The following is a 15,648-nucleotide window of genomic DNA, read 5'->3' as shown; positions in this document are numbered from 1 at the left end:
ATTTCTTCCATCCAGCTCTTAAACTCGACTTGTCTCCACGCTCACTCGCACACAACACGTGTATGCCCATACCTGCCCTTGTGTATGAATCTCAAGATAAAAACGCCTGGTGTTTAGGCAACTCCCCCTCCCTTCAGTGGAGTACAGAGGAGCGAAACTATGAGTTTTGGCTCGCCGCCCAGCCGGAGGAGCTGGGATACTGCCGCCAGGGATCGTGGGGAAGGCCATGGCTCAAGTCCGAGGACCAGCCAACTCCGTGCTGCCCAGCTGAATGGCCTCTCAGTTGCCTGCAAGTTGAAACCTCAATCGGGCACACAATGAGGCCGCTGTTTTCCGACAGGAGGCATTTGGATGCCTCACACACTCACCCCAAATAGGGCCTGAGAGCAGGGAGCGCATTTCCTTATCCATGTTCAGATGCACCCCTAGAAGCAGCAGAGGCAGCCCGGGGCTCGGGGAGGGAGCCGTTCCCCTCCCCCGCGCCTAGCCACAGGATGCCCGCGCAGGCCACCTGTTGGACTCTGTCTGGACACCCTGTATTGTGCGCCCCTAAAACCCGCACCGCACCGCGGATCAAGACAATCGGGCATTCCGGAGGCTGGATCCGTCAGCAAAAGATAAATTTCACTAGCACCTCCTACTCGGGCTACCTTTCCTGGTGCCCCCACCCATGTCTCTCTGTCTCTTTCTCTGTCTCTTTCTCTCTCACACACACACTTCTTTAATATACCAACAGTCTTTTTTCTTTAGTGAAGCGCGCTTAGGCTGCCCTAAGGGCTAGGTCTGCCCACGATCTCTTAGCGCGCCCAGGCGGCTGCGGATCTCTAAGCGCTTATGCTGGGAGCTAGCTTAACGCGCGGGCGGCTGAAAAGCCCCAAATGGCACGTTGGTGAGGAAGTCAGCGATCTGCTCTAGGGAGCCCCTTTTCTCCTTAGGAAGCGGAAGGGGACTCCCTCCTTGGCTTAGAGATGGAGGGAACTGGGGAAACCCCCGCGGCAATCGAGTTGGAGGAAACAGTGTTGCATTCCTCTGCCAATGCCAGATTAAGCGCAAGGAGACCCAACTTTCTCCCGTCTCTTTGCCGTCCATGCAAGCCGCTAGCTGGGGGTAAAGGGGGCCTCCATTAGCGGCCTACTCACCCCTGGGTATAAACGCTATCCCGCAGGGCCACCAAGCCGACTGGTGCGCGCGGAGTCCGCGAAACGCCTTGGTGTCTCGCTCCTCTCCTGGGCCACGCGGCGAAGGCTACGCACTCCAAGCCGGGCAGCTGAGGGCAGTCGATCCCATGGGTGGCGAGTTGGCAGAGGGCGCGCCGCCCGGGTGGGGGCGCATCGCTCCCAGGTCTGGCGCAGGCTGCGGCGGGGAGAGGGGCTCACAGGGAAGTTGGCGGCTCTGGGGGCGGACTTCGGACTTCGCGCTCGCTCCGGCTCGAGCGTCCGGGTGCGCCCTCCGGGATAGACAAGGGACTTGCCAACGGAATAGGGGCCGGCGCCGGCCAAGCGGCTGCGGAAAGCCTCCGCCGGCCGCCGCCTAGAAGAAGCGAAGCAGCATCGCGCTGCTTAGAGCCCCCAGTAGCGGCTGGAGCAGACAGCGCGCAAGAGAGCGGGGCTGTTTCTCCAGGCTGTGGGTGTCCCTTGCTCACAGCCCAGCTCGCTTCAATCCGCCGTGCCCCTCCTCCTGTTCTAGTCCTCCTCCCCGCCGGTGCTTCGCCGGCTCGCCAGGCTCGCCTGGGACCAGAGGCTGAGCGGAAGGCGGCCGCAGCTCCCGCAGCATGGAGGGCGATCTCGCCGGCTCCGACTCCGGCTCCAGCTGGGGCTTGGGTTCGGGCTCCGGCAGCGGCAGCAGCGGCAGCAGCGGCCGCCACCTCCCGCGCGCCCACGTGCCGGAGTCCCGGTGTGCGCGCTCCGGCTGGCGGGGCTGGAGGGAGGGAGCGAGGGCGAGCCGCGGGTGGGGGCGGCGGGGAGAGGCTGCACAGTCGCGCGTTAGAGGGGAAGCCGCCGAGAGGCTCCCGAAGGCGCGGGGCTCCTCGTCTGCAGCTCCAGGAAGACTGGTGTGCAAGGCTCCCCCAGCTCCCCGCTCCCTTTGCAGAGCGGAGGGAGCCCCAGCGAAACGCGGGCGGGGTGGGGGGAGCTCCACTCCGCAAGATCAGTCGGCCGCGGCGGCCAGAGGCGACTACGTGTCTCCGCCAAGGGGACAGGTTTCTAGTATCCTTGAGCCCCCTCTCCACTCCCGGGAGAAGAAAGGGGTTAAGAAACACCGGGAGAAGGAGTGTGCGGATTCCCAGCGAGAGCTTGTTCCGGCTTGCCCCGCCTTCCTCTCAGAGAAAGCACTTTTCCCGTTAACCAACAGACTCCCAAGGGTTTCTCCTTCCAGGGAGAAGGGAGGTGTCTTGCAAGATGGGCCTGGCAACCTCCAATCAATTGACAAATAATTTGTGAGCACCCACTCTGAGCGACGCCGGGCAGCGTCCGGAGCACAGGGCCCTCCGTAGTTGGGTGTAATGTTGTATTCTTTGCTCTGCGTGCCCTTAGGCAGGCTCTCCCTGGGCCTCATTGCCCTAGCCGTAAAATGAGGTTCTTTTATGATATGAGTAAGAAAAACAAAAACACGAGAATTTTTAAAAAGACAATTTAAAAGATGGGTAATAGCTCAATACTAACAAGAAGGATAATTAAAATAAGAAAATTTCACAGTAGTAGAAAATGAGAACTTTAAAGAGACAAAGTTAGCAAAACACACATAATACTGGACACCATGTGCGATTACTTAGACATCATTGTCTCCAATCTTCTCATCTTAGTGGGGAAATTGAGCCTCAGGGAAGACACGTGGCTTGCCCGCTGTCACACACATCCAGTTTGGTCAGCCCCCAGTCTGGTCTCCTCCTGCCAGTCCTGGGCTTTTTCTGCCACAGGCCAGTACACAAATTATGCTCAGCATTACTGAGACGAGTCATCAGCAAAAGCGGGGAAAGGGAGAAAGAGAGAGAGAGAGAAAGAAAGAGAGAGAGAGATTGAGATTCATTTCCTCTGGAGTTTCCAAAAAAGGCTTCATGAAAGAAGTGGGATTTAAGCTAAAACCTAAAGAGTAGGCAGGATTCGAATAGCTGGAAAAGTGAGAGGAGGATGTGAGAGGTCAAAATGAAGGATGAAGAAAGACGCATTGGAACAGCAGCAAACAAGCTTGGTAGGGGCAGAGAACTTCCCTAGGCAATGGGTGGGCGGGGGTCACTGAAGTGTTTTAAGCAGTAAAATAATGGAAGCTTCATTTTAGCTCGAGCAGTATATCCCTGTACAGGATTGCTTAAGAGGGGAAGAGATGGGGGTAGAGGGAGAAAGAAAAGGAACTGCAGGCAGAGAAAACCATTAGGAAGTCAAGGCAGCTATCTGGGTGCAAGTGAAGCCCTGATGTAATGTGGTAACAGGTAGAAGGTAAAATAAATAAAACTCTTATTGCTTCTGTTTTTAAAAGCCTACTTTATAGGAAGGAGTCTGCTGTTAATTGCAGGGGACATTGTAGAGAAAGGCACCGATGTTTAAGACACGATGGGAAACTGGGGGCCAACCCTCAGATAAAACGGTGGAGCTTTTCACAATAACTGGTCTGAAACAGATCTGGTCCCTTGGTTTTAACATTCAGCACCTGGAAGCTGGACAGCAACCGCCCTTGGTGAAGAATGGCGTAAGTTAGGATTTCTATCAATCAACCAAAAGCAAAAACGAGAAAAGGAAGGGAAAAACGTATTTTCTTTTATTCCTTGGAGGCACTTGAAGTCACAAACGAATGACTTCAGGGATTTCTCAGGTTGTTCCCCTGGAAATAGTCTCTCCATCTAGCACTTTGTCTCCTTGGGTGGATCAGCTGCAACAGCAGCATCTAGAAGTTTGATAGAAACAAAATCTCAGGCCCCAGCACACAGCAATTGAATTAGAAACTTCATCCTAACAAGATTCCTGGCTGATTCATAGGCACATTAAGCCCGAGAGGGGTTTCTTTATGTGTCTCTCCTAAGCCAGTGTCTTCAGACTTTTTAGTGTGATGCTGTATTAGTCTCTTCTCACACTGCTGTAAAGAATACTGCCTGAAACCGAGTCATTTTAATGAAAAGAGGTTTAACTGACTCACAGTTCTGCAGGCTTAACAGGAAGCGTGGCTAGTAGGCCTCAGGAAACTTAGTAGGTGAAGGAGAAGTAGGCATCTTCTTCGCAAGGCAGCAGGAGGGAGTGTGTGGGAGCACAAGGAAGTGCCACAATTTAAAACCATCAGCTCTAGTGAGAACTCACTCACTCTCATGAGAACATGAGCATGGGGAACCAGCCTCATAATCTAATCACCTCCCACCTGGTCTCTCCTCTGACACATGGGGATTAGAATTCGAAATGAGATTTGGGTGGGGACACAGAACGAAACCACATCAGATGAATAGTAAAAACACTTCATATTACACTATAGTCCTACACACACACACACACACACGTAACTTAAATAAAACTTTCACAAAACAACATGTATCCTTAATTTGTGATTCACTTAAATATTTTTATTCCATTTAATTTTTTAATGTGGTCATGACCTACTAATTGATTTTATGTCCTGCAAATGGGCTGCAATTTATGGTTTGAAAAATTTTGAGCTACGATATTAATTATTTCTTCCTTGGGTTTTGATTGCATATATATGTTTATCATATCTCTTCTACTAGCCTGTGAGTTCCCTGAGGGCAAGGTTCAAATATTTTTTATCTTTGAAATGTGTCAGAAATTAACATAGGGTTTTATATGTAGTAGCAACTCAATAAATATTCAAGGAGTCAATCAATCAATGAATGCATAAATTGATTAAAGCTAGGGACTGAGAGCAAGCTGAGGAAGGATGGGGTGAGGCTTGGCACGTAGGAGAAGGCTAAGCCAAGAAAACATTTATTCAAACCTCCACTTTACTGAAACATCATCAATGGACTATTAGAAAAAAGTCATTTCTAAAACAATCATGTATTCCAATGTTCCACTGTCAGCCAGAATATCTTTTTCCAGTAGAGTTCATCTTTACGGCTTCACAAAATTTCAAGCTATGGGGGCTTAAGATGAAGGAAAGCAGCTGAGTAGCTAGCACATATTATTAGAAGAAGAAAAGAAATTAGGAAGGGACAAAGACAAGTTAGTGCACACCTGATCTTATTCTGGGACCAGAGCTACTGACCAAGGAAAAGGAAGAAGTAGGGCTAATTACTTGGATTGAGGAAAATTTTGTCGACTCTATAGAGATACTTGACAATTAGATCTTTCCAAAGTTCAAAATGATTTATTCTGAAGTCACTAATATTTTTTTTCTTGCCACAGGAAATATACCGCAGAAAAGTACTTATTGTTTACCATCCAATAGCACTTTAGAGTGGGAAGTATGATAATTTATTTAATATAAATAAAATCATAACCTAAAGGACAAATACTAGAGTCACAGTATTTCACATTGTAAAGGGATCTCAAGTGTGCACTAGTCCACCTCCTCATTTTAAAGGAATCTGGGGAAGTTTTCACAGATTCTCTTATCACAGGTTCTACAAGAAAGCAGTAGGTCTAGGATTTGATTTCAGGCTTTTAGACTCAGTCACCATGACTGCCTGTTAATCCTACATAGGGATACTGCAAACTACACAGTTAGGAGCCACTGTTTCAGCATAAAGGAGAATGACTGATGCATTGCTTAAAAAGCTGGGAATGAATAATATTTATTAAGTATCTACTATAGAGTAGGCACTAGAGCAGGCATTTTGCATACTTTGTTCCATAAAATCTCCATTAAAAAATCCATAAAGTAGAACATTTTAATCTCCATTTGCAAGTGAGGAAAGAAAGAGTCATAGAGGCTAAGTAATTAGGATTTTAAGACTGGAACGTTGCAGAGCAGGTTTTGAACAAAGAGCTGGATTAATCTAAGTCCATGCTCACTCTCTTATGCTTTACTTCCCAGCCATGGAAAATTTTAAGCAAAAACTGGCAGGGAAATCAAAGGAAAGAATTCTGATTGGATTAAAATAGCTGACCTGAGAAGTAACCCCTTTTGCTGAGATTCTGGGATGCCATAAAGGGTTATTTGCATCAAGGTAGAAACACTATTAAGTAATTTGAGTACACCCTGGTGTGTAGAATCCACAAACTGATGAAGTAGTGGCCATGATATGTGAAAGCTAATGCTGCTGTTAACAGCTGCATTGGCCACAGCTCAATAGTAAGTTTTGCATTAGAAGAATTTCACTCCCTGTATAAATTAGGATTATTTTCTTTGTCAGAATAACAGATACCAACATATACTAGTTTAGGGTAGAGGGTAGAAAATTAAAGAATCAGTTAAACAAATACATGGAAAGTAATGAAACAAAGTCTCTAGAAGGAACTGGAATGTCAGGATGAAATCTTTCTCAATTTTATGTGGTCTCTTTTTATATATCTCTATCTCCATCTCTAAATGCTCCTTTTCAACTCACTGTCTTGCTATGCTTATACTTCTTTCTGCAAAAGAACTCTCTGCATCTGTGCCCCCATGGCAGAAAATGTCTATCTCATGCATTTCACAGGTATTTTTTAACTTACTGTCTCTGGGCCCCAAGTCTTATCTACTAGGAGACAGCATCTCATTAGCCCATCTAGAGTCAAATGTCTACTCCTGGATAATCAAACAGAACCAGGGGTATGGACTCACAGTACCAACAAGACTGCTAGAAGCTTAGCTTTGTGAGTTACATATAAAGTGAGGAAGGTGACTGGGATAAGTACCAGAAAGAGTGTAAAAATCTGGCTACTACACTCCTTACCAAGAACAATCTAGTGCTTTAGAAATTGTGTTGGGGATCTTATTATACACATATTAGATTCTAGGAGATTACCCTTGAGACATGAGTGTTGGTGATGTTATAGCTGATTTAAAGCCCCAAAGTACAAAAGGATCCCCCTTTGAAGATTCCTGCCACTCATAATCCCCACTGCATGAACCACATGGTTCCAGAATTAACGGGAAATAATGAATGTCCCAGGCAGCCTGTATCTACCATTTTATCTGAAGATTCACCCTATGCTTGGTTTCCTTGAAAGAACACTGAAATCGGGATTCAGAACACCTGGATTCAGACCCTAACTCTGCCCTTACCTGTTATGCAATTTGGGGCAAGTTACTTCACCTTATCAAAATGAAAGACTATTAAGCATGCCCTGCCCTACCTCAGAAAGCTGTTCTGAGAAGCAAATGAGATACTGTCTGTGAAGCCAGCTTTATGTAAAATCTGAAGCACTAAGCAAATGCAAGGGATTATTAGTAATACAAAAAATAACAGGAAGGCAATGAGTTGTAACACTTAGGTTACCTTTGCAAATATCCACCATGCTCTTTGGAGTAGAAAAAATCATGCTGCAAGAAATGTAATGAATGTGAAGCATGTTTATTCTATTTTATGAGGCATGGTAGGGTGAAAAAGATCAGTGTAGCTCCAAAGTGAAGGACTGAAAAGTGTATTGTTTCTAGAAAAAAAACAGACCCTTCTCTGGTAATAATATCAGAACTAGCAATACAGTAATAACAATAATTATCATATGGTTGCCATGTTCCAGGCATCATGCTAAATACTTCCCATGTAGTAACTCTTTAAATGTATATTACCTCCTCAGTTGGTTTCTGTTATTGTTTCTGTGTTAAAGATTAGGAAACTAAAGCAGGGCAAGTTAATAATTCACACATAGTCTCAGAGATAAGTGGTACAGTCTAGATTAAACCCCAGTTTACTTTAATTCAAAGTGAAACAACCAACACACTATTCTGTATTTTATATCCTTAGAGGAAAAATGTGATAAATGCCAAGTTTTAATGGTAAAAAAAATTATGTAAAGGAAAGCATCTAACAAAAACTATTAAGTTATAAATCCACATATGTGTTTGATGTGTGATATTTTTCCATTGGATATGGATGATCACTAAGCACAACTGAACCAATTTAATCACTACACACCTATTTAAAGGTGTTGGAATAACAATACCAATTACTGATGAGGATGCTGAGTAACAAGAACTCTCATCATTGCTGATGAGAATGCAAACTGGAAGACAGTGTGGCAGTTTCTTAGAAAGCTAAACAAAGTCTTACCATACAATCAAGTAAATGAATGTTAGGTGTTTACTCCACCTATTTGACAATATCTTCACACAGAAACCAGCAGGCAAATCATAAACACCAAGAACTAGAAGCAACCAAGATATTCTTCAACGGATAAATGGATAAACAATCTGTAGTACATCAATATAATATGTAGAAGTCAGTGGTTTTCAGTGATCAAAAACTGAGCTGTAAAGCCACACAAGATAGGGATGAATCTTAAATATATATTTATCAGTGAAAGAAGCTAGTTTGTAAGGGCTACACACCATATAATTCTTTTATGCAACATTCTGGGAAAGGCAAGGCTATAGAAATGGGAAACCAATCAGTGGTTGCCAGGGACTTGTGGGAGGAGGAGAATGGAATAGTAAAGTACAGGGAATTTTTTTAGGGTGGTAAAACTATTCTGTGTGGTACTGTAATGGTGGATAAATGACATTATGCATTTGTCAAAAACCACATAACTTTACAACACAAGAGTGAACCTCAATGTGTGCAAATTTTAACAAATCATTTAGGAGGTCAGGGGATCCCAAGAAAGAATGTAGACTTTGACAGGTGAATTTAACTGTACTATAAATGTATGAATGTACTATAAATGTATGAGAGAAGACTAGAGAGATCCATGTGGTAATGGATTAGAGTTGCAGAAAACAGTATTAACTCAAGTTTAATATAGATACAGATGGATACAAACAGAAATAATTATAGATATGTGAACGTGCGCAGGATAGGATACAGATATATATTTCCTTTCTCTGTCACCTAAGAAATTCTAAAAGCAATGATACCCCAGTAACTGCACACACGTAGCATCCAGATTTTAATTTCTGATATCAGTATCCAATAAAAAGAACCAAAGCTCCTTGGAGAAATGTCTGATTCTATAAATGGGACAAGAAACGTTCAAAATAATTCTGGGGCATCTTATAGTGCCAGTAAGTAAGAAAGTGCTCAAAACACACACACACACACACACACACTCTGTCTCACACACACACAGACACACATACAGTAATAAGGTATATTAAATGGACAAAGGAGCCAACTGAAAGAGCTCACAATGAACAAAACTGGAACAATTTGAACAAAAAAAGGTATTGAATTATAGCCTAAAGCATACAATAAATATTCATGTGTCCACACTGATAGAAATATATGATTGAATAAATACATAAATGAGGACAAAGAGATAAATCTCCCATGGAAAAGAATTCCAAATAATTTCTGTAGATACTCTCCCTCTCAAGGAGATGGAGCATAAATAACCCTCTATCCCCTATGTGTGGGCTAGGCATAGTGAATTCTCTCCAAAGAGTAAAGTATGCAAGAGGGACAAAGAGGAACTTAACAGTGGAGAAACGTGAAAAGCCCTGTCTTATCCAAGTGATCAAGGTTAACATCAATAGTGATGTCAAGTTGATAGTACGTACTCTTGAAATAAGTAATATGATGAAAATGACATTTTACCTCTGTGGTCTTCCTCCAAAGCACTCATAACCACAGTCTAATTGTGAGGAAAACATAAAATGAATCCCAGTTGAGAGATAGCCTACAAAATATCTAGCCAAAATACCAGTTTGTTCAAAATTGTCAAAATCATGAAAAACAAAGACATTCTGGGAAAATGTCACAGCCAAGAGATACCTAACATGATAATAACTAAATGTAATGTGATATCTTAATGAGATCTTGGAAAAGAAAAAGTGTATTTGATTTAAAACCAAGATATTTGATTATAATCAACTTTAGTTAATAATAATATATATTGGTTCATTAATTTATCAAATGTACCATAATAATATATTATCTCATAATAGAGAAAGTGGATATGAGGTATATGGGACTCTGTACCAGTTTGGTAATTTTTCTGTAAATAGAAAACCATTCGAGGAGGGGTGGAGCCAAGATGGCCAAATAGGAACAGCTCCAGTCTATAGCTCCCAGCGTGAGCGATGCAGAAGATGGGTGATTTCTGCATTTCCAGCTGAGGTACTGGGTTCACCTCACTGGGGAGTGTCGGACAGTGGGTTCAGGACAGTGGGTGCAGTACACTGAGCCTGAGTGGGAGCCGAAGCAGGGTGATGCATTGCCTCACCCAGGAAGTGCAAGGGGTAAGGGAATTCCCTTTCCTAGTCAAAGAAAGGGGTGACAGATGGCACCTGGAAAATCGGGTAACTCCCACCCTAATGCAGCACTTTTCCAAAGGTCTTAGCAAACGGCACACCTGGAGAATATATCCTGCACCTGGCTCAGAGGGTCCTACACCCACGGAGCCTCGCTCATTGCTAGCACAGCAGTCTGAGATCAAACTGCAAGCCGGCAGCAAGGCTGGGGGAGGGGCGCCCGCCATTGCCAAGGCTTGAGTAGGTAAACAAATCAGCTGGGAAGCTCGAATTGGGTGAAGCCCACCACAGCTCAAGGAGGCCTGCCTGCCTCTGTAGACTCCACCTCTGGGGGCAGGGCATAGCCAAACAAAAGGCAGCAGAAACCTCTGCAGACTTAAATGTCCCTGTCTGACAGCTTTGAAGAGAGTAGTGGTTCTCCCAGCACGCAGCCTGAGATCTGAGAATGAACAGATTGTCTCCTCAAGTGGGTCCCTGACCCCCAAGTAGCCTAACTGGGAGGCACCCCCCAGTAGGGGCAGACTGACACCTCACATGGCTGGGTACTCCTCTGAGACAAAACTTCCAAAGGAAAGATCAGGCAGCAACATTTTCTGTTCACCAATATCCACTGTTCTGCAGCCTCCACTGCTGATACCCAAGCAAACAGGGTCTGGAGTGGACTTCCAGCAAATTCCAACAGAGCTGCAGCTGAGGGTCCTGACTGTTAGAAGGAAAACTAACAAACAGAAAGGACATCCACACCAAAACCCCATCTGTATATCACCATCATCAAAGACCAAAGGTAGATAAAACCACAAAGATGGGAAAAAAACAGAACAGATAAACTGGAAACTCTAAAAATCAGAGCACCTCTCCTCCTCCAAAGGAATGCAGCTTCTCACCAGCAACAGAAGAAAGCTGGACAGAGAATAACTTTGACAAGTTGAGAGAAGAAGGCTTCAGACGATCAAACTACTTCGAGCTAAAGGAGGAAGTTCGAACCCATGGCAAAGAAGTTAAAAACCTTGAAAAAAAATTAGATGAATGGCTAACTAGAATAACCAATGCAGAGAAGTACTTAAAGGACCTGATGGAGCTGAAAACCATGGCATGAGAACTATGTGACGAAAGCACAAGCCTCAGTAGCTGATTTGATCAACTGGAAGAAAGGGTATCAGTGATGGAAGATCAAATGAATGAAATGAAGCAAGAAGGGAAGTTTAGAGAAAAAAGAATAAAAAGAAACAAACAAAGCCTCCAAGAAATATGGGACTATGTGGAAAGACCAAATCTGCGTCTGATTGGTGTACCTGAAAGTGATGGGGAGAATGGAACCAAGTTGGAAAACACTCTGCAGGATATAATCCAGGAGAACTTCCCCAATTTAGCAAGGCAGGCCAACATTCAAATTCAGGAAATACAGAGAATGCCACAAAGATACTCCTCAAGAAGAGCAACTCCAAGACACATAATTGTCAGATTCGCCAAAGTTGAAATGAAAGAAAAAATGTTAAGGGCAGCCAGAGAGAAAGGTCGGGTTACCCACAAAGGGAAGCCCATCAGACTAACAGCTGATCTCTCAGCAGAAACTCTACAAATCAGAAGAGAGTGGGGGCCAATATTCAACATTCTTAAAGAAAAGAATTTTCAACCCAGAATTTCATATCCAGCCAAACTAAGCTTCATAAGTGAAGGAGAAATAAAATACTTTACAGACAAGCAAATGCTGAGAGATTTAGTCACCACCAGGCCTGCCCTAAAAGAGCTCCTGAAGGAAGCACTAAACGTGGAAAGGAACAACCGGTACCAGCCACTGCAAAAACATTCCAGATTGTAAAGACCATCGAGGCTAGGAAGAAACTGCATCAACTAACGAGCAAAATAACCAGCTAACATCATCATGACAGGATCAAATTCACACATAACAATATTAACTTTAAATGTAAATGGGCGAAATGTTCCAATTAAAAGACACAGACTGGCAAATTGGATAAAGAGTCAAGACCCATCAGTGTGCTGTATTGAGGAAACCCATCTCATGTGCAGAGACACACATAGGCTCAAAATAAAGGGATGGAGGAAGATCTACCAAGCAAATGGAAAACAAAAAAAGGCAGGGGTTGCAATCCTATTCTCTGATAAAACAGACTTTAAACCAACAAAGATCAAAAGAGACAAAGAAGGCCATTACATAATGGTAGAGGGATCAATTCAACAAGAAGAATTAACTCTCCTAAATATACATTCACCCAATACAGGAGCACCCAGATTCATAAAGCAAGTCCTTAGAGACCTACAAAGAGACTTAGACTCCCACACAATAATAATGAGAGACTTTAACACCCCACTGACAACATTAGACAGGTCAAGACAGAAAGTTAACAAGGATATCCAGGAATTGAACTCAGCTCTATACCAAGCGGACCTAATAGACATGTACAGAACTCTCTACCCCAAATCAATAGAATATACATTCTTTTCAGCACTACACAACACCTATTCCAAAATTGACCACATAGTTGGAAATAAAGCACTCCTCGGCAAATGTAAAAGAACAGAAATTACAACAAACTGTCTCTCAGACCACAGTGCAATCAAACTAGAACTCAGGATTAAGAAACTCACTCAAAACCACTCAACTACATGGAAACTGAACAACCTGCTCCTGAATGACTACTGGGTACATTACGACATGAAGGCAGAAATAAAGATGTTCTTTGAAACCAAAGAGAACAAAGACACAACATACCAGAATCTCTGGGACACATTCAAAGCAGTGTGTAGAGGGAAATTTATAGCACTACATGCCCACAAGAGAAAGCAGGAAAGATCTAAAATTGACACCCTAACATCACAATTAAAAGAACTAGAGAAGCAAGAGCAAACACATTCAAAAGCTAGCAGAAGGCAAGAAATAACTAAGATCAGAGCAGAACTGAAGGAAATAGAGACACAAAAAAACCCTTCAAAAAATCAATGAATCCAGGAGCTGGTTTTTTGAAAAGATCAACAAGATTGATAGACTGCTAGCAAGACTAATAAAGAAGAAAAGAGAAAAGAATCAAATAGACACAGTAAAAAATGACAAAGGGGATATCACCACTGATCCCACAGAAATACAAACTACCATCAGAGAATACTACAAACACCTCTATGCAAATAAACTAGAAAATCTAGAAGAAATGGATAAATTCCTCAACACATACACTCTTCCAAGACTAAACCAGGAAGAAGTTGAATCTCTGAATAGACCAATAACAGGCTCTGAAATTGAGGCAATAATTAGTAGCTTAGCAACCAAAAAAAGTCCAGCACCGGATGGATTCACAGCCAAATTCTACCAGAGGTACAAGGAGGAGCTGATACCATTCCTTCTGAAACTATTCCAATCAATAGAAAAAGGGGGAATCCTCCCTAACTCATTTTATGAGGCCAGCATCATCCTGATACAAATGCCCGGCAGAGACACAACAAAAAAAGATAATTTTAGACCAATATCCTGATGAACATCGATGCAAAAATCCTCAATAAAATACTGGCAAACCAAATCCAGCAGCACATCAAAAAGCTTATCTACCATGATCAAGTGGGCTTCATCCCTGGGATACAAGTCTGGTTCAACATATGCAAATCAATAAATGTAATCCAGCATATAAACAGAACCAACGACCAAAACCACATGATTATCTCAATAGATGCAGAAAAGGCCTTTGACAAAATTCAACAACACTTCATGTTAAAAACTCTCAATAAATTAAGTATTGATGGGACATATTTCAAAATAATAAGAGCTATTTATGACAAACCCACAGCCAATATCATACTGAATGGGCAAAAACTGGAAGCATTCCCTTTGAAAAGTGGCACAAGACAGGGATGCCCTCTCTCACCATTCCTATTCAACATAGTGTTGGAAGTTCTGTCCAGGGCAATCAGGCAGGAGAAGGAAATAAAGGGTATCAATTAGGAAAAGAGGAAGTCAAATTGTCCCTGTTTGCAGATGACATGATTGTATATCTAGAAAACCCCATCGTCTCAGCCCAAAATCTCCTTAAGCAGATAGGCAACTTCAGCAAAGTCTCAGGATACAAAATCAATGTGCAAAAATCACAAGCATTCTTATACACCGATAACAAACAGAGAGCCAAATCATGAGTGAACTCCCATTCACAATTGTTTCAAAGGAATAAAACACCTAGGAATCCAACTTACAAGGGACGTGAAGGACCTCTTCAAGGAGAACTACAAACCACTGCTCAATGAAATAAAAGAGGATACAAAGAAATGGAAGAACATTCCATGCTCATGGGTAGGAAGAATCAATATCGTGAAAATGGCCATACTGCCCAAGGGAATTTATAGATTCAATGCCATCCCCATCAAGCTACCAATGGCTTTCTTCCCAGAATTGGAAAAAACTACTTTAAAGTTCATATGGAACCAAAAAAGAGCCCTCATTGACAAGTCAATCCTAAGCCAAAAGAACAAAGCTGGAGGCATCATGCTACCTGACTTCAAACTACACTACAAGGCTACAGTAACCAAAACGGCATGGTACTGGTACCAAAACAGAGATATAGACAAATGGAACAGAACAGAGCCCTCAGAAATAATGCCACATATCTACAACTATCTGATCTTTGACAAACCTGACAAAAAGAAGAAATGGGGAAAGGATTCCTTATTTAATAAATGGTGCTGGGAAAACTGGCTAGCCTTATGTAGAAAGCTGAAACTGGATCCTTCCTTACACCTGATACAAAAATTAATTCAAGATGGATTAAAGACTTAAATGTCAGACCTAAAACCATAAAAACCCTAGAAGAAAACCTAGGCAATAACATTCAGGACATAGGCATGGGCAAGTATTTCATGTATAAAACACAAAAAGCAATGGCAACAAAAGCCAAAATTGACAAACGGGATCTAATTAAACTAAAGAGCTTCTGCACAGCAAAAGAAACTACCATCAGAAAGAACAGGCAACCTACAGAATGGGAGAAAATTTTTGCAATCTACTCATCTGACAAAGGGCTAATATCCAGAATCTACAATGAACTCAAACAAATTTATAAGAAAAAACCAAACAACCCCATCAACAAGTGGGTGAATGATATGAACAGACACTTCTCAAAAGAAGACATTTATGCAGCTAAAGACACACGAAAAAATGCTCATCGTCATTGGCCATCAGAGAAATGCAAATCAAAGCCACAATGAGATACCATCTCACACCAGTTAGAATGGCAATCATCAAAAAGTCAGGAAACAACAGGTGCTGGAGAGGATGTGGAGAAACAGGAACACTTTCACACTGTTGGTGGGACTGTAAACTAGTTCAACCATTGTGGAAGACAGTGTGGTGATTCCTCAGGGATCTAGAACTAGAAATACCAT

General features: G+C 43.0%; 1 protein-coding gene across 4 annotated transcripts in view; it reads right to left on the bottom strand.

Moving 5' to 3' along the window:
- The window catches only part of SGCD (sarcoglycan delta), a 1,039,957-nt gene extending 1,037,659 nt beyond the window's left edge, over positions 1 to 2,298 (bottom strand). Inside the window, exon 1 of one of the 4 annotated variants that reach the window (XM_047417519.1) lies at positions 1,140 to 2,298. The gene's annotated coding sequence lies outside the window, so the exon portion shown is untranslated. The remainder of the gene's footprint in view (positions 1 to 1,139) is intronic. The other 3 variants (XM_047417518.1, XM_017009724.2, XM_047417520.1) reach the window with 3 other exon arrangements.
- Positions 2,299 to 15,648: the final 13,350 nt, after the last annotated feature.

Source organism: Homo sapiens, chromosome 5 (assembly GCF_000001405.40).
Source record: "Homo sapiens chromosome 5, GRCh38.p14 Primary Assembly".
Classification (NCBI taxonomy): Eukaryota; Metazoa; Chordata; class Mammalia; order Primates; family Hominidae; genus Homo; species Homo sapiens.
This window is presented reverse-complemented; position numbering and strand designations above follow the sequence as displayed.